At 53.2% G+C, this 21,734-nt stretch overlaps 1 protein-coding gene across 8 annotated transcripts, besides 5 other annotated features; it reads left to right on the top strand.

Moving 5' to 3' along the window:
* Positions 51-345: an enhancer, noted in NCBI's record as "tiled region #11373; K562 Activating DNase unmatched - State 5:Enh". NCBI's record gives its function as "activates a minimal TATA promoter and a strong SV40 promoter by Sharpr-MPRA in K562 cells {active_cell/tissue: K562}" and the evidence as "EXISTENCE:reporter gene assay evidence [ECO:0000049][PMID:27701403]".
* Positions 65-114: an enhancer, noted in NCBI's record as "active region_10036". NCBI's record gives its function as "activates an Ori minimal core promoter by ATAC-STARR-seq in GM12878 lymphoblastoid cells {active_cell/tissue: GM12878}" and the evidence as "EXISTENCE:reporter gene assay evidence [ECO:0000049][PMID:35858748]".
* HAPLN3 (hyaluronan and proteoglycan link protein 3) lies at positions 2,179-20,429 on the top strand. Of its 8 annotated transcripts, none has more exons than XM_011521261.2 (6): positions 2,179-2,264; positions 4,611-4,695; positions 10,378-10,548; positions 15,998-16,366; positions 18,454-18,756; positions 19,467-20,429. In XM_011521261.2, the coding sequence occupies exons 2-6, from the start codon at positions 4,611-4,613 to the stop codon at positions 19,751-19,753; spliced, it is 1,215 nt and encodes a 404-aa protein (XP_011519563.1). In that variant the 5' UTR covers positions 2,179-2,264; the 3' UTR covers positions 19,754-20,429. The 8 variants fall into 8 exon arrangements, with proteins under 8 accessions (XP_011519563.1, NP_001294881.1, XP_047288131.1 ...); NM_001307952.2 differs by having other exon boundaries at positions 4,611-4,749; XM_047432175.1 differs by lacking the exon at positions 19,467-20,429 and adding an exon at positions 18,255-18,305 and having other exon boundaries at positions 4,611-4,749; positions 18,454-18,546.
* Positions 2,342-2,953: an enhancer, noted in NCBI's record as "H3K4me1 hESC enhancer chr15:89438001-89438612 (GRCh37/hg19 assembly coordinates)". NCBI's record gives its function as "activates a minimal SCP1, AML or CMV promoter by ChIP-STARR-seq in primed H9 embryonic stem cells {active_cell/tissue: H9 hESC(primed)}" and the evidence as "EXISTENCE:reporter gene assay evidence [ECO:0000049][PMID:30033119]".
* Positions 11,750-12,461: an enhancer, noted in NCBI's record as "H3K27ac hESC enhancer chr15:89428493-89429204 (GRCh37/hg19 assembly coordinates)". NCBI's record gives its function as "activates a minimal SCP1, AML or CMV promoter by ChIP-STARR-seq in naive and primed H9 embryonic stem cells {active_cell/tissue: H9 hESC(naive and primed)}" and the evidence as "EXISTENCE:reporter gene assay evidence [ECO:0000049][PMID:30033119]".
* Positions 18,598-19,173: an enhancer, noted in NCBI's record as "H3K27ac-H3K4me1 hESC enhancer chr15:89421781-89422356 (GRCh37/hg19 assembly coordinates)". NCBI's record gives its function as "activates a minimal SCP1, AML or CMV promoter by ChIP-STARR-seq in naive H9 embryonic stem cells {active_cell/tissue: H9 hESC(naive)}" and the evidence as "EXISTENCE:reporter gene assay evidence [ECO:0000049][PMID:30033119]".

Genomic DNA, 21,734 nt, shown 5'->3' with positions numbered 1-21,734 from the left:
GTGATCTGGAAGGGTGACTTGCAGGCAGAGGCTTGGCTAGCTTGGGAAGGGGTGTAGGAAAAACCACCCTCTTTGTCAAGGTGAATTTTTCCAAACTTTGGGAGCCGGCTGTGTTCTGCAGGCAGGGGGTGCATCTGAGCAGCAGGAGGTGGGGCCGCCTCTGAGCAGCAGGAGGTGGGGCCGCCTCTGAGCAGCAGGAGGTGGGGCCACAGGGCTGCCAAAGGGAGGGCGTGGCTTTGCTGGAACCACATCAGGGAAATGTGTCTGGAAGTGGTTCCTTTCTGAGACCTGCGGTTGCTGGGCTCCTGGGCCTAGCAGGGTCTGAATAAAAGGCCCAGGCCGTGGTCTTCGTAGGAACTGAGGATGGGGGACTCCCTTCCCCTGGGTGTCCCTTGGCCTACTGCCTCCCGTTTCAGAGCTCTCTTCTGCGGAGCGGTGTGGATTGGGTTTAGAGCCAAGCCTTTCTGCGTGCTTCCAAGCCTCAGGTCTCCCTCCCGGGGGAGTTTCCTGCCCTGAACCCCTGTTCCAGCATACCCTGGGGATAAGCAGACAGTGGGAGAAGCATCTCTGCTCTGGGATGGGTTGGCCACAGCCTTCTAAAAGTCCCCCTCCTGGGACCCTGGAGTGGAGTCCCCTCACTCCTGACCCCCTCCTTCCTTCCTTGGCTTCTCTCCCTCAGCAGTGTCTTCCATTTGCCCAGCTTTTACCATCACCCCTACACATTGACTTTTTTCTGCCCCACTGCAAGGCAGAGGGTGAGCGTTCAGATTCCACCTGCTGGCTACCCCTACCCCTGGCTGGCATGTTCAACTCGACTTAACTGTAGCAAAATGTGCTCTCCCTACTGTCCATCCTCTCCCCTGTCGGGAACCTGCAGAGGGACCTACCTTGGCTCCCCTTTGCCCATCAAGCCTGGCGTTCCTTTTAGGTGTAGTTTACCTGTTGATCACAGTTCTTTGTGCTCCAATGTGCCCCTGGCTGTGTGTAACACACACACATGCACACACACACACACACTCATGGGCCAACTTGAGCTGTGTTTAGGAAGAGGCTCTGAGCTCTGTGACCCTGTGACCCTTCGACCCTTCCCCCAGCCAAAGCTGAAGGACCTCCTTAGTCTTTTCTGCTGAGGAAACATCGGGCTGTCCAGGCCAGGGCCCCCATTGGTCTGGACAGGAAAGAAAACACCCTGTCCAAACAGAGGCATCCTGAGCGGCTGCCTGGATGGCTGTGCTGATTAGCAGGATTCCGAAGGGAGGCCCACCCCTGTTGGAGGACCACTCAGAAGCCTGATTGCCCCTGCAGGCTGCAGAGGTATCCCACCCTGTGTCTCCCCTCCCAGCCAGGGCCACTCATTCAAGCCCCATGTGCTGGGGATAGCACCTGCTATGTGCCTGACAGTGAGTTGGGAATCTGGCCAGTGTTTCATGATGGCCAAACTCAGGGGCATGAGGACATCAGCAACCCCTTGCTTTTTTTTTTTTTTTTTTTTTGAGACGGAGTTTTGCTCTTGTTGCCCAGGCTGGAGCACAATGGCATGATCTCAGCTCACTGCAACCTCCGCCTCCTGGGTTCAAGCAATTCTCCTGCCTCAGCCTCCCAAGTAGCTGGGATTACAGGCATGCTCCACCACGCCCAGCTAATTTTGTATTTTTAGTAGGGACAGGGTTTCACCATGTTGCCCAGGCTGGTCTTGAACTCCTGACCTCAGGTGATCCACCGGCCTCCACCTCCCAAAGTGCTGGGGTTACAAGCATGAGCCACTCACTGCACCTGGCCTCACCCCCTTGCTTTCTATTTGGAAAAGAAAGTAATACAGAAGTCTCACCCCTTCCACAATCAAAGGTGGGGAGCAGCCTTAGCCCCTAGCAGAATGCTGGACAGGGGCTTCCCCTGCTTACTCCCACTGTTTTTGGTATACCAGGCTTTCTAAGGGGATCCCCCCTCCCCAAACTCTCCTATTCCACCCCTACTCTCCTTTCCCAAGACGTGAGGGCCTCAACTCTTGCACACCCTCTTTGCGGTGGTTCCCAGCGAGTCTGGAGACCGCTCAAGCCTGCAGCAGCTCCTCCCTTCGAGCCCAGCCCTTGGGAGGGAAAGGTGCGCGTGTTCCTTTAAGGGGCTGGTCTGGCGGGAGCGCGGGGGTTTTTCTGCTGCCGCTTCCTTTCTGCCCTTTTAATTTCCCCGAAATCAGACTGCTGCCTTGGACCGGGACAGCTCGCGGCCCCCGAGAGCTCTAGCCGTCGAGGAGCTGCCTGGGGACGGTACGTGGCTTAGGGGTCGCTGGGCTTCTGGGGCTGTGTGCGGGCCGGGTTCCTCCCTTACCGCTTTGGGTGCCCTGCGGGTCCCCACACCTCCCGGGCAGGGTCCGGGGAAGGGGCAGGAGGCGTGGGCCGGGCACTGCGGAGGCCCGGGCTGAGATGGGCTGTGATCGCGGGCGAGGGGCGCCCGGGGCACAAGTGGGGAGGGAGCGGCGCGGGGATGCGGGCGCCGGACCCTCGTGCCCACCGTGAGGGAGCAGAGCCCGAGCGGACCCCGTGGCCTCCGAGACCACCGTCCGCCTCCAGCCCCCTTCCTGCCAGGGTCCGCTTGGCTCTCTCCCCTGTCGTCTGTCCAGGGTCGGCTGCCTCCAGTGCCGTCCGCGGCGCCCCAGGCCCTGCCCCTGGGTATCTGTTGGATGCTCCGGGGGCCCCGGGAGTCCTGGGAGGGGCTGAGGGCAACCTGCGAGGCGGCTGGCGGACCTGCGCCTCTGGACCGCAGCTGGCCGGCTCTGGGCGCCTGGGGCAAAGGCAACTGATGCCTATGGGTTCCAGACCTCGCTCACCGGGGTTCTTGCCCCAGGGACAGCGAGGCCAGAAGGGTAGGGAGGGTGGAGGGCAGAGCCCTGGGTGGGAGATGGCGACCCTCAGGGAGAAACGTAGGCTTGTGCGCAGCCAGTATGGAAACAGCACGGCACTTGGACCCAGTCCTGCCACCAGCTCGTTGGCAGCCACAGGCCACAGGCAGCCTGTAAACCTGTTGGGACCTTGGTGTCCAGCGCTGACCCGCGGGAGTGCCTGTGCTCCCTGGAGTAGGGGGCAGCGATTGAGAGGGGCCCTGGCTTCTCTCCCTCGACGCCGCCCGGGCCAGCGGATTGGGAAACACCTCCGGTTTTCATTCTCCTGGGGGCTGCAGGTTTCAAAGGCGGAGATCAAGCCTTGTGCAAACAGGGACAGGGATGTCAAATTTCTCGCTGGGAGCAGCGCTCGTGCAGACCTCGCGGGCGATGCTGCCTCCTGCTGGTACCTGGGGGACTTGTACTCACGGAAGGCCCAGTGCGGACATGCACCTGGCAGGGAGGTGGCACCTACCCTCCCTCCAAGCCCAGGCTTATTGTTCTTGGGTGGAGGGGTCCCTAGGCTGGGGCGCCTGGGAAAAGCAAAGGGCTGGTCATCAGGAAACCTGAACTTTCTCTAAGTTCGAGATATTTGACAAAGATAACGCCTTGGGTAGTTCACTGACCTCCACTCTCTTGGCCTCAGTTTCCTCAACTGTGAAGAGGAGGCAGTGGTGACCACTTTGTCTCGTAGGCAGTGAGAGAGGAGAAAGAGCCACTGAGATGGTGTAAGACTTCACTGTGTGAACTGCTCACCAGAGTAGTAACAGGTCATATTTTCCCAGTGCTTGCTCCTTATCAAGCATCAAGCAGTATTTTCAGTGCTCTGCAGCTATTCTCTCCCTTAATCTTCACGAGAGTGTTTTCTGTTTGGTATTGTCGTGACCGCCCCCCCCACCCCAACTTTTTTTTTTTTTTTGAGATGGAGTCTCACTCTTCTTGCCCAGACTGGAGTGCAATGGCTCAATCTCGGCTCACTGCAACCTCCGCCTCCTGGGTTCAAGCGATTCTTCTGCTTCAGCCTCCCGAGTAGCTGGGACTACAAGCGCTCATCACCACACTCGGCTAATTTTTGTATTTTTAGTAGAGATGGGGTTTCACCGTGTTGGCCAGGCTAGTCTTGAACTCTTGACCTCAGGTGATCTGCCCACCTCAGCCTCCCAAAGTGCAGGGATAACAGGCATGAGGCACTGTGCCTGGCTTGTGACCCCCATTTTAAAGATGAAGAAACTGAGGCTCAGAGAGGTGCAGCGACTTGTCCAATGACAGAGGGTTAGTAAGTGGGTGGAGCCAGAACTGAATGCAGGCAGCCAATCTGCTTCTAGAGCCTGAAATCTTTGCCATGTTCATTTGTTGAGCACCTGCTGCATGCCAGGGACCAGACATCATACATCTTCTATAATTGTCACCACAGCCCATTTTTTTTTTTTGAGCTGGAGTCTTGCTCTGTCGGCCAGTCTGGAGTGCAGTGGTGTGGTCTTGGCTCACTGCAACTTCCGCCTCCTGGGTTCAAACAATTCTCCTGCCTTAGCCACCCCAGTAGCTGGGATTACAGGCATCTGCCACCACACCCAGCTAAATTTTGTATTTTCATTAGAGATGGGGGTTTCACTGTGTTGGCCAGGCCAGTCTCGAACTCCTGACCTCAGGTGATCCACCCCCTCAGCTTCCCCAAATGCTGTAGGATTACAGGTGTGAGCCACTGCACCCGGCCTTAAGTTCCTTTTTTTTACAGATGAGGAAATGGAGGCACAGAGAGGTGAACTTGCCCGAAGTCACTCAGCAGGATGCAGTGTGTCCAGCTCCAATACCGAGCCCAGGTCTGAGTGCCCAGACAGGACTCCAGAAGATTTGGGGAACTATCCACTGCCAAGGTGACTGGGCTGGACTTGGTCTTGGGCCTTCCAGCTGGTGGCACCTCTGTGGTGGTCCTGAGGAGTTGGTGGCTGGATAGCCATGGTAGGGGAGCAGAGGCTACCCATCCCTCCCCTCAGTGGTAGTGGTCAGGGATGGTCAGAGATGGACCTGAGGCAAGGCAGCAACCAAGTGGCAATTGCCACTCCTGACTCCCACACAGGACTCTGTCCTGTGCACTGACCTTAGCATTCAAGGCTGTGCTTGTCCTCAGCCCCCGAGTTCCCCTTTAGTCTTCTCTGGAGAGAGGAAATTTTCTGTTCAGAGAGGTCAAATGACTTTCCCAGGGTCACCCAGCTAGCAGGTGGCAGAGCCAAGACCCAACCTCAATGAGTTTAACTTGAAACCTTGGGCCTGTGTGCTGCTCCTCTCTCAGAGAGGCCTGGAAAATGGCCAGCTTCCTCCTGGCCTTTTGTTCTTGGGCACAGGGCTGATCTTTTCTTATAATTCCTTTTGTTTTTCTTTTCTTTTTTTTTTGAGATGCAGTTTCACTCTGTCGCCCAGGCTGGAGTGCAAAGGTGTGATCTCGGCTCACTGCAACCTCTGCCTCCCAGGTTCAAGCAATTCTCCTGCCTCAGCCTCTGGAGTAGCTGGGATTACAGGCACCCACCACCACACCCATCTATTTTTTATATTTTTAGTAGAGACGGGGTTTTACCATGTTGGCCAAGCTGGTCTCAAACTCCTGACCTCAGGTGATCTACCCTCCTTGGCCTCCAAAGTGCTGGGATAACAGGTGTAAGCCACTGTGCCCAGCTAATTCCTTTTGATTTTCTTGGCATCCCCCTCAATGTGAGGTTACATTACTGCTGAGTTAGCATCCAACAAAGAGGTGTTACTGATGTCACTTAGTGGCAGAAACGCCTGCATTTGTTTACCCTTAGGAAGCCCTTTCTCACTAGGGAGCATTTGTGCTAGATGAGCCGCTGTAAGAGGCTGGAAACATTATAAGCAGCAGCTGGGAGCCCCTCTGCTCAAGGAGACTCTAGGTGCCCAGGGACAGCGGGGAGCCCAGGACATCAAGCTCAACATCAAATCTTGGCCCCACTTCCCTCCTGGTTCCAGGTGTGGAGCCTGAAGGAAGGCAGAGGAAACGAACTCTTACAAGGGTTTGCTCTGGGCCACTGGGCTGTGTGTGCCACACAATCACCTCCCTGAATTTGGCATGGTTCCAGGCTTTGGGGCTGGAGTGGGTTCGAATCCTAGCTCTGCCACTTCCTAGCTGGATGACCTTGGGCATATGACTTAGTCTCTCTGTGCCTTGGTTTTTCCATCTGCAAAATGGGAACACTACTAGGCTCACATGTCAGGGTAGTGGTAAGGATTACATGAGAGATACCAGGTGTGGTGGCTCATGCCTGTAATACCAGCACTTTGGGAGGCGGAGGCGGGCAGAACAATTAAGCCCAGGAGTTTGAGACCAGCCTGGGCAACATGGTGAAACCCCATCTCTACTAGAAATACAAAGAATTAGCTGGGTGTGGTGGCACACACCTGTAATCCCAGCTACTTGGGAGGCTGAGGCAGGAGATTCATTTGAACCCAGGAGGCAGAGGTTGCTATGAGCCGAGATCTTACCACTGCACTCCAGCCTGGGCGACAGAGTGAGACTTGGCCTCAAAACAAAAACAAAAATAAAATAAATGAGAGAGTAAGTGCTCAGCTGTTAATACTTTTATACTGATCATAGTAATGCTGTGGTGTGTGTATTTGTTAGGACAAGTGAGGCTAAGCTGTGTTGACAAAGAGATGCAGGCCGGGTGCAGTGGCTCACGCCTGTAATCCCAGCACTTTGGGAGGCCGAGGTGGGCAGATCACCTGAGGTCAGGAGTTCAAGACTAGCTTGGCCAACATGGCGAAACCCCGTCTCTACTAAAAAATTACAAAAATTAGCCTGGTGTGGTGGCAGGTGCCTGTAATCTCAGCTACTCAGGAGGCTGAGGCAGGAAGAATTGCTTGAATCTGGGAGCAGAAGTTGCAGTGAGCCGAGATTGCACCATTGCACTCCAGCCTGGGCGACAGAGTGAGACTTAGTCTCAAAAAAAAAAAGATGCAAAAAAGTGGTGGCTTAAATATGATAGGACTCTGTTTCTCTCTCATAGGACAGTGCAAGTGGAGGAGGTCCAGGGCTGATGGGCAGCTCTGCCATTCAATCTGTGGTTTCCATCTCTGACTCTAAGCTGGATACTGTGGTTTCCAGAAGGTTGGGGGAAGGAATACCAGGGAAAGGCATCTGTAATTGTTTTAACTGCCAGACCTGGATGTGGCATGTTATTTCTGCTTGCTGCCATTGATGAGAACTGAGTCACATAGCTCTCCTAGCTGCGAGGGAGGCTGGAAATGCAGTCTTCAGCTGAACGGTCGTGCACCCATCTAGACCTCTGTTACTTTAGGAGAAAACTAGAATGCATTGGCGAGAAATATACCAGGGTGAGTTTTATGATCTCCATTTCGCAACCGAGGAAACTTGCCCAGAATCTCGCAGTGAATAAATAGTAGAGGTGGGATTTGAACTCTGATCTTCCAGTTCCCAAACTCTGTACCAGGTTGCCCCATTGTGCTTAGGCCTCCCAGTTCTCCATCACCAAGGGGGCTTACAGGAATCAACAGGGGAATGAATTCCTCTTGGACAAGAAGTGGGGTTTCAGAGTTGGTAGTGTCCTGGCTGCAGTGCACAGCACAGATGGCAGGTCTGGGCCTTGGGATTTCTGTGGTGTCTAAGGGAATGGTGGATTTGGCCTCTCAACTTTCTTTACATCCATTCTCTCCAGCAAGAGCTCCTAACTGTTCTGGAAACAAGAATGTTTCCTCCACAATCCCATCACTCTAACAAGCCAATGCTGTGTGTGTCTGCCTGCCTCCTTTCCTCCCTCCTTCCCTTTCCTTCCTTCCTTCCTTTCCTTCCTTCCTCCCCTTCCTCCCTCCCTCCCTCCCTCCCTCCCTTCCTTCTTTCCTTCCTTCCTTTCTCCCTTCTGTCCTCCCTCCCTTCCTCTTTAAGTGTTTCCTCATCTTCTGGGTCCTGTACACAGGCATTCACAAGACCACATGGTTGCAATCATAGCAGAGGCAATTGTATGTTCTGCTTTGTCTATTTTAACTTACACCCTAAGCATTCTTCCACGTTGCTACATGATAATCATAGTTATGTTTGCAGCTGCCTGCTGTCATTCTGGTCTTGCTGCCCCCAGGTCTACCTTCCACTCAGCCCCTGCAGGGAAGTGTCTTAAGATGTGAGTCTGATCCTGTGACTTCTCTGCTTAAAGCCATCACTGGCCTCCAGGACAAAGGATAGACTTCTGGCCAGGTGTGGTGGCTCATGCCTGTAATCCCAGCACTTTGGGAGGCCGAGGTGGGCGGATCACTCGAGGCGAGGAGTTCGAGACCAGCCTGGCTAACATGGTGAAACCCCGTCTCTACAAAAAATACAAAAATTAATGGGGCATGTTGGCGCATGCCTGTAATCCCAGCTACTCGGGAGGCTGAGGCATGAGAATCACTTGAACCCAGGAGACGGAGGTTGCAGTGAGCTCAGATCTTGCCACGGCACTCCAGCTTGGACAACAGAGTGAGATTCTATCTTTAAAAAAAAACAAAACAGGATATGCTTCTGGGCCTGACACCCAAGGCATCCAGACGCTGGCCCTGGTGACCCCCTTACCTCCTCTCCCCCATGCAGCCAGGGTCTTGGCAGGAAGCAGAATTCAGCCCAGATGATTCCAATAAAGAGACTTTAATGGAGGAATGACTTCTAGAGAGTAGGGTGAGGGGACCCAACAAGGAAGTGGGGGACGCAGAGGCCAGCAGCAGCAGCAGACACTCTATGGCAGAGGCACTGGGGTGGCAAGGGAGCTGGGAAGCAATGCCCCGTCTTCCTCCTCTTCCCTCTCTGCCATCTTCTCTGAGTGCCTCCCATTGGCTCAATCCCACTGGAAGCCAGAAGGCCTGGGGAACTGGGACAACAGGGACCAATACGTGTCAGAGAAGGACAGACGATGGACCTGGTGGGTGTGTGGGGCAAATGGAGGACCTCCTGTATACCCCCAGCACCCCCAGGCTTGGGACTCTTGCTGGCATCTGCACCTTTGTAGTGGCAGTGCCCTACTGGATAAACCTGTCAGTCCTTCTCCACCTGGCAAACTCCTGCATCTTCAGTCTCATTTGGACATTCCCGTTTCTGTACCTCCATCGTGGTACTCAACACACAGCAATCAAGACTGCCTGCCCACGACTCTGCCCCCTCCCTGGACCAAGCTCCTTCAAGGAGTGACCCCATCTTTTAATTGTTGAGAGCACGCAGTAAATGGCAGGTGAGCAGGGCTAGGGTGACATGAGTGAGGCAGTAGCCCTTGGTGTGAGATTTAAGCGGGGGAGGAAGGGAGTTTGCTAGAAATCTTAGTAATCAAGACAAAATATTTGAATACAATATTTAAAAAAAAATCAAATCATCAAACTACAGCCCATGGGTTGGCTACCTCTTTTGAGCGCCCACCCAAACTGGAATAGCTCCCAAGACCTCTAGCATGGTGTTCAAAAATTATTTTTGAGTTGGGCGCAGTGGCTTATGCCTGTAATCTCAGCACTTTGGGAGGCCGAGGCGGGCTGATCACTAGGTCAGGAGATTGAGATCATCCTGGCTAACGCGGTGAAACCCCGTCTGTACTAAAATTACAAAAAATTAGCTGAGCTTGGTGGCACGCACCTGTAGTCCCAGCTACTCGGGAGGCTGAGGCAGGAGAATTTCTTGAACCCAGGAGGCGGAGGTTGCAGTGAGCAACCTCCACTCCAGCCTGGGCGACAGAGCGAGACTCTGTCTCAAAAAAAAAAAAAAAGGGTTCACAATGCAGGACTCATCTTTACTTAACATACCCTCTATTCACCCTGATATTTTCTATTCTAGTCTAGTTTATTTGGCGTCATTAAAAAGTGCTGCTCATACCTTTCTTTTCTTTTCTTTCTTTTTTCTTTTTTTTGAGATAGAGTTTCACTCTTGTTGCCCAGGCTGGAGTGCAATGGCATGATCTTGGCTCACCACAACCTCTGCCTCCTGGGTTCAAGCGATTCTCCTGCCTCAGCCTCCCGAGTAGCTGGGATTACAGACATGTGACACCATGCCTGGCTAATTTTGTATTTTTAGTAGAGACGGGGTTTCTCCATGTTGGCCAGGCTGGCCTCAAACTCCCAACCTCAGGTGATCCGCCCGCCTCAGCCTCCCAAAGTCCTGGGATTATAAGCGTGAGCCACCATGCCCAGCCTGCCCATAACCTTTCAAATTCTGGCTTGAAAAACATTGAGCCTGTCATATCATCCTGCTTAATTTTCTCTGCTTTTAGCTGCCTGATACTTCCTTCTTATGATTTGTCTCTTTGCTGATCTCCCGTCTTGCCTTCGGGGTACAGCTCCCTGAAAGCAGGAACCCCATCTAGCTTGTCACTGCTGTCTTCTCAGCTCCGGGAACAGCGTCTGGCACGTAGGCGGCAGGTGTCCCGCAGTGAGCTGTTGAGCAAGCGAGTGAGTGGTGTTGGAGCAGAGGGGATGTGGGCCCTGGAAGCCAGGCTTTTCTAATTGCCTTGTTTTCCTCCCCTTCCCAGTTTGCCCTGGGGCCCCAGCCTGGCCCGGGTCACCCTGGCATGAGGAGATGGGCCTGTTGCTCCTGGTCCCGTTGCTCCTGCTGCCCGGCTCCTACGGACTGCCCTTCTACAACGGCTTCTACTACTCCAACAGCGCCAACGACCAGAACCTAGGCAACGGTCATGGCAAAGGTAGGCGACCTCCTGCACCCGGCTCTTTGCTCCCCTGGGTGACCTAGACCTCCTTGGCTCTTGCTGTGATCTGAGGGTTCCAGGCTGGGACAGGGACAGCAGCCCTGTTCCAGCAGGGCCCTTGTAGTGGGCCAGCTTGCTTCTCAGACAGGGGAAGGGGTGAGTTCATTTTCCTGTGTTCGCCAGCCCCTTCGTCATGGGGCCCAATTCACTTAGGCTTTTTACTTTCCCTAAAAGTCTTGCCAGTTGTTCAAGGTCCAGCTTGAATGTGTCCTCCCCTGGTCCCCCCAGTGGAAAGGGGACCTGGGGTCGAATAGATGTGAGTTTGAATGTTTTTTTTGTTTGTTTTTGAGATAAAGTCTCACTCTGTTGCCGAGGCTGGAGTGCAATGGCACGATCTCGGCTCACTGCAACCTCTGCCTCCCGGGTTCAAGCGATTCTCCTGCCTCGGCCTCCCGAGTAGCTGGGATTACAAGCATGTGCCACCATGCCTGGCTACTTTTTGTATTTTTAGTAGAGAAGGGGTTTCACCATGTTGGCCAGGCTGGTCTTGAACTCCTGACCTCAGGTGATCCACCTGCCTCGACCTCCCAAATTGCTGGGATTACAGGCATAAGCCACCATGCCTGGCCCGAGTTTGAATCTTATAATTCTACCTCTTACTAGCTGTGTGGCCTTGGGCAGGGAACGTTTTAAAGTAGCAGTTATTGTGCACCCAACATGGGTTGGGCGCGCTTCTAGATATTTTGCATATGTCGTCTCCTGTAATCACAAAAGCCCTGATGTAGGCAAGGGTGAAAATATACCTTTTTTTTTTTTTTTTTAAGATGGAGTCTCACTTTGTTGTCCAGGCTGGAGTGCAGTGGCGCGATCTTGGCTCACTGCAGCCTCTGCCTCCCAGGTTCAAGCGATTCTCCTGCCTCAGCCTCCCAAGCAGCTGGGATTACAGGCATCTGCCACCACACCTGGCTAATTTTTGTACTTTTAGTAGAAATGGGGGTTTCTCCATGTTGGCCAGGCTGGTCCTGAACTCTTGACCTCAGGTGATCCACCCGCCTCAGCCTCCCAAAATGCTGGGATTACAGGCGTGAGCCAACGAGCCTTGCCGAAAATACACATTTTTAACCATTAGTGCAGCACGGGTGCTGACCAGGCTGAATTGATGCTGTCTGCCCTCACAGCCTGAAAGTAGATTCTATTATCATCCCTTCTCATAGATGAGCAAACTAGGCTCAGAGAGTTGATCCAGTTGTCCAGGTCAAACAGCTATTAAAAAGACAAAGCTGAGGGCTGGGTGCAGTGGCTCATGCCTATAATCCCAGCACTTTGGGAGACTGAGGTGAGTGGATCACTTGAGGTCAGGAGTTCAAGGCCAGCCTGGCCAACATACCGAAACCCTCTACTAAAGATACAAAAAATTGGCCAGGCGCGGTGACTCACACCTGTAATCCCAGCACTTAAGGAGGCCGAGGTGGATGGATCACGAGGTCAAGAGATCAAGACCATTCTGACCAACCTGGTGAAATCCTGTCTCTACTAAAAATACAAAAGTAGCCGGGCGTGGTGGCAGGTGCCTTTAATCCCAGCTTCTCAGGAGGCTGAGGCAGGAGAATTGCTTGAACCTGGGAGGCAGAGGTTGCAGTGAGCTGAGATCATACCACTGCACTCCAGCCTGAACGACAAAGTGAGACTCCGTCTCAAAAAAAAAAAAAAAAACACAAAAAACAAAAAATTAGCCGGGTGTGGTGGCGTGCACCTGTAATCCCAGCTACTCAGGAGGCTGAGGCATGAGAATTGCTTGAACCTGGGAGGAGGAGGTTGCAGTAAGCTGAGATCACACCACTGCACTCCAGCCTGGGTGACAGAGTGAGACTCTGCCTCAAAAACAACAACAACAAACTTGTTCCACTTGTTTGTGGAAGGAACGAACCAGATGGCTGGTCTCAGTAATAGCCAGCACCTGCCATGAAGAGCGCACAGCCTGGTTCAGAGACGACACATGAGCCTGCAAGTGCAGTGCTGGGTGTTTCTCACCTTTCCCTCTGCCTTTGAGTAGATGATTGTGCCTGCAGAGGCATTTTCCCTCTTTTGATTAGTCTCCTAGGTCAGCTGTAACAAATTAACACAAACTTGGTGGCTTGAAACAACAGAAATGTATTCTCTCACTGCTTTAGGCACCAGAAATCCAAAATTAGTTTCACTGTGCAGAAATCGAGGTGCGGATAGGACTGTACCTCCTGTGGCTCTTGGGGAGAATCTGTTCTTGCCTTGCCTCTTCCGGTTCTGGTGGCTGCTGGCATTCCTTGGCTGTAGCTGCCTCACTGCAGGCTCTGCCTCCTTGGTCACGTGGTCTTCTCCTCTTTTATATGCAAATCTCCCTCTGCCTCCCTCTAAACAGGTACTTGCGCATTTGCATTTAGGGCCCACCTGGGAAATTCAGGATACCCTCCCCATCTCGACATCCTTAGTTTAACCTCATCTGCAAAGTCCATTTTGCTACATAATTAGGATTTAGGGTATTTTGGGAGGCCATTATTTAGCCCACCACACCCTTTTCCTTCAGAATTTATTTTGTTATACAAGCCCTACTTTATTTATTTATTTATTTATTGAGACAGAGTCTCGCTCTGTCACCTGGGCTGGAGTGCAGTGGCGCGATCTCGGCTCACTGCAAGCTCTGCCTCCTGGGTTCACGCCATTCTCCTGCCTCAGCCTCCCGAGTAGCTGGGACTACAGGCATCCGACACCATGCCTGGCTAATTTTTTGTATTTTTAGTGGAGATGGGGTTTCACCGTGTTAGCCAGGATGGTCTCGATCTCCTGACCGCCTGATCCGCCCGCCTTGGCCTCCCAAAGTGCTGGGATTACAGGCGTGAGCCACCGTGCCCGGCCTACAAGCACTACTTTAATGAGATTTGCGGAATTTAAAAAACTTAAACTTCCTACTCATAGTTTCACTACACTACCAGGCCAACATTTCATTTTTGTCTTTCCCTTTTGTCCCTGAATATGTAAGCAAAGTCATATATAATCCCCCCACCCAGGGGAACCACTGTTAACTTTTTAGGTATCTCTTTCTAGCCTTTTCTTTTTTTTTTTTTTGAGACAGGGTCTCACTCTGTCACACCAGTGCAGTGGTGTGATCTCGGCTCACTGCAACTTCTGCCTCCTGGGCTCAAGAGATCCTTCCACTTTAGCCTCCTGAGTTAGCTGAGACTACAGGCGTGCACCACTGTGCCCAGCTAATTTTTGTATTTTTAGTAGAGATGGGGCTTCACCGTGTTGGCCACGCTAGTCTCGAACTCGTGGCCTCAAGTGATCTGCCCGCCTTGGCCTCCCAAAGTGCTAGGATTACAGGCGTGAGCCACTGCACCTAGCTGAGCCATTCTTTTATGATTTAGAAAACTTTCTCCAACAAAAACCAGCTCATGTCATACATGTGATTTTTGTATTCTCCCTTATCACCTCATAGAATAGAACTCGTTTTCTAAGTCAATGATTGAATGTACATCTACCAGATTATTTTACATGGCTGTATAGTATTTTATCATATGGATGTACATTTTCATTTTATTCAGGTTAAAGCTTCAAAGGTAGTTTACTTAAGAGAGTTGGGAAGAACCAAGGAAGTGGCCCCTAAATGATAGCCCTGCTTCATATTTATTGGACACTTTCTGTGTGCCAGGCATCCTGCCTTACCTGATTTGAACCTTACCACAGCCCTCTGTAGGGACTGTAATTAACCCATTCTACAAATGGGGAAGCTGAGTCTTGACTTCCCTGGATTACACAGCTGGGAAAAGGTGGAACCAAGGGCAAGCCCGAATTGCCTGACTCCAAACCTCTGTACCTACTGCCTCTGCAGAGCAGGACAGCTCTAATCTGAATGAGCCTGAAAGTCCCCTGGAGGCTGGACCCCATTCCCAGAGTCTCTGAGGCACTGGGACCCCACAATGTGCATTTCTGACAAATTCCTGGTGATGCTAATGCTGCTGGCCCGAGGGCCACACTTGGAGACTTCTGCATATGGCAATCTGCTACATTAGGTATAGCTCTTTTTTAGCACGATTCCTCTACAGGGAACCTCCCTGTCTGTCTCCTGCTTACCCATGAGGCTGTCCCCTTGCCTCCACCTTTTTAATTAATTAATTTGTTTTTATTTTGTTTTTGGCAACAGAGTCTTGCTCTCTCACCCAGTTTGGAATGCAGTGGTGCGATCATGACTCACTGCAGCCTTGACTTCTGGGCTGAAACAATACTCCCACCTCAGCCTCCCGAGTAGCTGGGACCACAAGCATCTACCACCATACTCAGCTAGTTTTAAAAATTTTTTTGTAGAGACAGGGTCTCACTTTATTGCCCAGGCTGGTCTCAAACTCCTGGGCTGAAGCGATCCTCCTGTCCTGGCCTCTCAAAGTGTTGGGATTATAAGCGTGAACCACCGTGCCTGGCCCCTGTCCCCACCTTGAGTAAATCAAGCATGTCTTGAAGTCTAGACCCAAGAGAATGAATCAGTGAGGTCCCAACAGGGGCTCCCAAGTTAAAGATGAGGCAGCCTTAGCCTATGAACTTGATTCTTTTGTTGCATGTTGAGTTCTGTGTGTATTTGTAACTCTGAGCCGTGAGCGTAGTCTCCTTTAGAAGTTCTGCCCTTAGCTCAGTAGGCTGCTCCGTATTTGGGAAGAGTTATGGTGGACAGCTGGACCAGAGAGTAAAGCCAGGGCTGTGCTGTCCTCTGGCCAGTGTGGTGGGGAAGGAAACTCCGACGGATCCCTATCAGGGCCACTTGTCCTGGCCATGTACCTCATGTGGGGTGGCTCTTGTTGCCTGCTCCATTGGTTAGATTTTATGCATAGCAAACCACCCAAAACTTAGTGACTTCTTTAGGATGACAGCCATTTGTTTAGCTCATGATTCTGTGGGTCAGCATTTTGGAGTGGGCTCCATTTCTTCAGGTCTTGCGGTTGGGTCTTGCAGATGTGCCTGCCCATGGTGGGCAGGTCAGCTGGGGGCTGGTTGCTGTAGGATGGCCTCAGCTGGGGCGCCCTGTCTCTGTTCTGTGTATTCTCTCATCCTCTAGCAGGCAAGCCTGGCCATGTGCTCATGGTGGCTGGCAAAGTCCTAAAAAAAGAGTGGAAGCAGCAAGGCCCCCTGGGACCTATGCTCAGAGCAGGCATGATGGATAACAGTCACTTCCAAGGCATTCAGTTGGTCAAGCAAGTGGCAAGGCCAGCACAGATTCAAGGGGGTGGGGGAATAACTGTCATCTCTTGATGGAAGGAGATGCAAAGTCACATTGCAGAGCATGTGGATACAGGGAGGGGTGGAGCATGGTGGCCATTTTTGCAATCTGAGCCTGTAGGAGCCGTGGATGAGGGTGTGCGGTGGCCCTTGCAGGGGTACAGATGTGCTTCAGCAGGTCTCATCTGCACCCTGTCTCTCCCCCAAGACCTCCTTAATGGAGTGAAGCTGGTGGTGGAGACACCCGAGGAGACCCTGTTCACCTACCAAGGGGCCAGTGTGATCCTGCCCTGCCGCTACCGCTACGAGCCGGCCCTGGTCTCCCCGCGGCGTGTGCGTGTCAAATGGTGGAAGCTGTCGGAGAACGGGGCCCCAGAGAAGGACGTGCTGGTGGCCATCGGGCTGAGGCACCGCTCCTTTGGGGACTACCAAGGCCGCGTGCACCTGCGGCAGGACAAAGAGCATGACGTCTCGCTGGAGATCCAGGATCTGCGGCTGGAGGACTATGGGCGTTACCGCTGTGAGGTCATTGACGGGCTGGAGGATGAAAGCGGTCTGGTGGAGCTGGAGCTGCGGGGTGAGATGCTAACGGGGACTGGGTGACACTGGGACCTGAGAGCAGAGGGGAGAGGACCAGAGAAAACATCCAGACCTCTGTGCTTTAGACATTTAAAAGTACTTAATTCTCAAAACAACCCACATGGAAGCTACTGTTGTGACCCCCATTTTACAGGTGAGAAAACTGAGGCACAGAGAGGTCAAGTAACTTACCTAAGGTCACACAGCTTGTAAACGACAGAGCTGGGGTCTGAACCCAAGCACCCAGCCTCTAGAATCTGTTCCCCTCTACCCGCTGTAATTCACATCTCATTCAGAGAGAGGAAAACCAGAGCTGGTCCCACAGCTTATTAGAGACAGAGCTGAGATTTAAGCAAGGTTAGCGGGTAACACAAGCGAATGAGGCAGCCCACTGTGAGACGATGGGAGTGGTGGGGACTGGGCACACTCCTGAGCCCTTGTCCTGTGCCCAGGGAGCTCCCACACTACTCAGGCCCAGCTGATGATGCCACGCCAGAATGCAGACCCCACTGCCAAATTTTCTGGCTTGACAAGATAAGCTTATATTTTTATGTGAGATCTCCTGATTTTTATGTAAAAACCTCCTTTTTAAAAACAAAACAAAACAAAAAACAAACAAAAAGCCCCCCCAAAACCAAAAACAAAAACCCAGTGCTGTCCAAACCAGCCACACCCTGCAAGCCGGATCTTGTATGTGGGGTCCCTGTTTGATCTTTAATTTGTATTTACCTTCTCTGTCTCTAGGATGGGGCTGTGTGTCCTCACATCTCTCCCACATGTTAGGGAGGCAGTTCGGGGATAGAGGAAGGTGACCTGACTTTAGCCCCAGCCCGTCCCAGCTATGACATGTGGGTAAATGCCTCATCCCCCTTAGAGCCCTGGGCCTCTCAGGTGTAAAATGGGGTATCACAATCTTTCCTCCTTTACCTCCCTCAGAGGCAATGAGGATAAGATGTATGTCCTTAAAATGCGTTCTCTGTCTTTGCCACCAGTGTCCACATGGCTTACATGGTGGCTCAGAGGGGCCGCATTCCTCATTCTTGAAGTTGGGGTGGCAGTGGAGTTGGGGAGAACCTGCAAGAGTCATTGGTCTGGGGTCTGCAGGGGCAGCCTAGAGAAACAGGGAGCCCTCACCCCATTCCCGGGGCTTCAAGGGCTAGGAATTTGGGGTGGAACCAGGCATGAAATAGTCCCCCTGCAAACACACGTAGAGGCTGCAAGCTGACTGTCAGGGCCCATGGGCTTCTCTGCCGCCCAACCTGGCTTTGCCCAGGTGCCTGGCTTCCGGCCCTGGTGAGATCGGAGGTTTGGGGCTCAGGCTGTTCCTGGGTCCTTGGCCACACGGAGGAGATTCCAAAGTGTCCTTCCCAGACCCCTAGGGTCACCTCCACTCCCTAAGGTTTCATTGACTTGGTAGAGACTACATCTCAGAAGTTTAAAAACTTTTTATTAGAGTAAAATTTCAAACACGAACATATCTTTTCAGGGCCTGTGGCCTCTATCAGACCCTGACCACAAGGAGAGAAACCGCCTGCCCCAGACCTCCCTGCCCTTGAGCCTCCTTTATGGAAGGCCCTTCCCCAACCCTCTCCCCACGGCCTCTAGGGCCTCTCCTTCTCCTGAAAATCATCTGCCACACGTGGAAAGTTCCTTGCATTTTCCTAGGAAATTTCCACATTCATAATAACGTAGACGATCGGGTCCCAGCTAACGAGTGGGGAGCTGGGAGTCAAACCTGGCCCCTAGAGCCCAAAGCCCGGGCCTGTCTGGAGAAGATGGCACAGCCTCACTGGGGGTCTGGCGACAGCCTTGCGGATTAGGTTGGGGACATTGTTGGGGACATTAATGGACTAATTAATTACCTTAACTCATGGATGTTTTCTGAGTACTGCTGTGAACCAGCTGAGTCCCAGGAGAGAGGCGGCAACGGACAGGAGGTCAGAGGTTTGCTGAGTTTTTCTGAGGGATGGTGTATGTGTGTGTGTTGCAGGCAGCACATGTCCCAGTGAAGGTGGGAGGAGAGCGGGGTGTCCAGCCAGCTGGGCCCCTGGCCACCCCCTAAGCTCCTCTTTCCTTCCCCTGCAGGTGTGGTCTTTCCTTACCAGTCCCCCAACGGGCGCTACCAGTTCAACTTCCACGAGGGCCAGCAGGTCTGTGCAGAGCAGGCTGCGGTGGTGGCCTCCTTTGAGCAGCTCTTCCGGGCCTGGGAGGAGGGCCTGGACTGGTGCAACGCGGGCTGGCTGCAGGATGCCACGGTGCAGTACCCCATCATGTTGCCCCGGCAGCCCTGCGGTGGCCCGGGCCTGGCACCTGGCGTGCGAAGCTACGGCCCCCGCCACCGCCGCCTGCACCGCTATGATGTATTCTGCTTCGCTACTGCCCTCAAGGGTGAGTGGAATAGCCAAGCGCGGGCCTGTGGGTTTGGTGGCCACCTGGGACCTGTGAGAGGGCAGCTTCTGGGGAGCTCTGGCCCCCTCTGCTGGCTCTGCTGGTACTGCCACCTGGAGGCCAAGAGCACCAGCCACCCTAGAAGCAGCATCTGGTTGAGTTTTGAGTGCTTTGCTGCTGCTGCGTTATGCAGGGCATAAATCATTGGTTTCTTCATTCATCAAATGTTTACTGAGTGCCTACCATATGCTGGGGCCTAGACTAGGCTCTCGGGAATCACAGACGAATAAAACACAGCCTGTCTTCACAAAGCAGCTCATTTCGTAGGAAGATGAACAAGTAAAAACAGAAACTGGTTCAGTGTCATATGCCAAGCCCTTGGAAAAGTGTCTGACACATAGTAGGTGTTCAGTAAATGACCGAATGGGCAAGAGACTCTGACTGGTCCAGCCTAGGTGGGGTGCCCACCCACCTAAATAGGGAAGGGTGGTGGGGGAGTGCAGACATGTCTGGAGGGACCTGGGTTCTATGGCAGGTGGGACAGAGCTCTCTGGGACAGGGTGAAGATTAGAAAGTGTTCTCTGCAGATGCCTGCAGTATGGTAGCTCCCTGGGCTCAGACGGGTCTTTGGGGCTGGCATCTCTGCAGACCCCGCTGTGCTCTCTGGCTGCCCCCTGCGCTGTACGGCACTCACGCCCCCTTTCCCCCAGGGCGGGTGTACTACCTGGAGCACCCTGAGAAGCTGACGCTGACAGAGGCAAGGGAGGCCTGCCAGGAAGATGATGCCACGATCGCCAAGGTGGGACAGCTCTTTGCCGCCTGGAAGTTCCATGGCCTGGACCGCTGCGACGCTGGCTGGCTGGCAGATGGTAGCGTCCGCTACCCTGTGGTTCACCCGCATCCTAACTGTGGGCCCCCAGAGCCTGGGGTCCGAAGCTTTGGCTTCCCCGACCCGCAGAGCCGCTTGTACGGTGTTTACTGCTACCGCCAGCACTAGGACCTGGGGCCCTCCCCTGCCGCATTCCCTCACTGGCTGTGTATTTATTGAGTGGTTCGTTTTCCCTTGTGGGTTGGAGCCATTTTAACTGTTTTTATACTTCTCAATTTAAATTTTCTTTAAACATTTTTTTACTATTTTTTGTAAAGCAAACAGAACCCAATGCCTCCCTTTGCTCCTGGATGCCCCACTCCAGGAATCATGCTTGCTCCCCTGGGCCATTTGCGGTTTTGTGGGCTTCTGGAGGGTTCCCCGCCATCCAGGCTGGTCTCCCTCCCTTAAGGAGGTTGGTGCCCAGAGTGGGCGGTGGCCTGTCTAGAATGCCGCCGGGAGTCCGGGCATGGTGGGCACAGTTCTCCCTGCCCCTCAGCCTGGGGGAAGAAGAGGGCCTCGGGGGCCTCCGGAGCTGGGCTTTGGGCCTCTCCTGCCCACCTCTACTTCTCTGTGAAGCCGCTGACCCCAGTCTGCCCACTGAGGGGCTAGGGCTGGAAGCCAGTTCTAGGCTTCCAGGCGAAAGCTGAGGGAAGGAAGAAACTCCCCTCCCCGTTCCCCTTCCCCTCTCGGTTCCAAAGAATCTGTTTTGTTGTCATTTGTTTCTCCTGTTTCCCTGTGTGGGGAGGGGCCCTCAGGTGTGTGTACTTTGGACAATAAATGGTGCTATGACTGCCTTCCGCCATCCCCAGCCCTTTTCTGTGTCTCCATCTCGTTCGGTCTCAGGGCGCAGCCCCCTGCCTGGTGGGTGTGGTGGGGGCAGTTCTAGCCCAGGCTTCATAGGTTGGCTGGGTCAGGTCCCTGGGGTGAACAGGGAACTCTGCGGGCTGGTTCTAGCCTTGCCTGCTCAATGGTTCACCCGGTCCTGGGTGCTGGCCTAGTGGCAGAGGACCTGGCTTCTGTCTTCACCATCCCCACCCCTTGGCAGTGCGTCTGTCTGTGTGAGGCTCAGCAGAAGAGCCAGAGGTGTCTGTCAGAAGACAGAGGAGGCTACGCCCTCCAGAGGACCTCAGAGGCCAGGGATCTAGGGGCCAGTGCTCCGTGTGCCTCACCCTCTGCCTCCCACTCCCACCCCCGCCTCAGGAAACTTGACTTGTTGCCTTGCGCAGGAACGCCTCTGCCACTCACCAACCAGTTATTCCTTCGGTTCTTCCCTTAGCTCAGTGCTCCTCATAGTGTGGTCGGCAGCATCAGCATCACTGGGATCTTGTTAGAAGTGCAAATTCCTGGGCCCCAGCAGAGACCTGCTGAGTCAGAAAGTCTGGGGTGTGGACCGGCACCCTCTGTTGTCACCAAAGCCCTTTAGGTGATTCTGATGCACGTTCAAGTTTGAAAACCACTGACAGTCGCACCACCAACTAATCAGTTAATGAAGTAATGATTGAGCGCCTACTATGTGACCAGTGCTGTACACTCTACTTTGGCCCACTGTTCTTTCTAGAGGTAGAGATGCAAGTATGTATATATATACGAACAAACAGCTGTACACACGCCCACGCCTGAAAAGATACCAGGACCCAGGAACTCACACTGGCCTGCAAGAACCAACACACACACATATTCACACAGACTCAATGGCGTGTCCAGCGACTGTGACGAGGGAGGCGTCTGAGGAGGTGGCACTGGTGGAAGGATACTGCCTGGCATGCGTGTGTGGGCTCAACTCTCAAGGTTTGTCAGGGGAATCCGTAAACAATTAGAATTGTTTTCATTGCTATTCTACAGTGTACTTTTTTTATTTTTTATTTATTTTTTATTTTTTTGACAGAGTCTTGCTCTGTTGCCCAGGCTGGAATGCAGTGGTGCGATCTTGGCTCACGGCTCACTGCAACCTCCACCTGCCGGGTTCAAGCAATTCTCCTGCCTCAGCCTCCCGAGTAGCTGGGATTACAGGTGCATGCTGCCATGCATGGCCAATTTTTGTATTTTTTTAGTAGAGACAGGGTTTCACCATGTTGGCCAGGCTGGTCTTGAATTCTTGACCTTGTGA

Source organism: Homo sapiens, chromosome 15 (assembly GCF_000001405.40).
Source record: "Homo sapiens chromosome 15, GRCh38.p14 Primary Assembly".
Classification (NCBI taxonomy): Eukaryota; Metazoa; Chordata; class Mammalia; order Primates; family Hominidae; genus Homo; species Homo sapiens.
The sequence above is the reverse complement of the archived record's forward strand: the minus strand, read 5'-3'. Positions and strand labels throughout refer to the sequence as shown.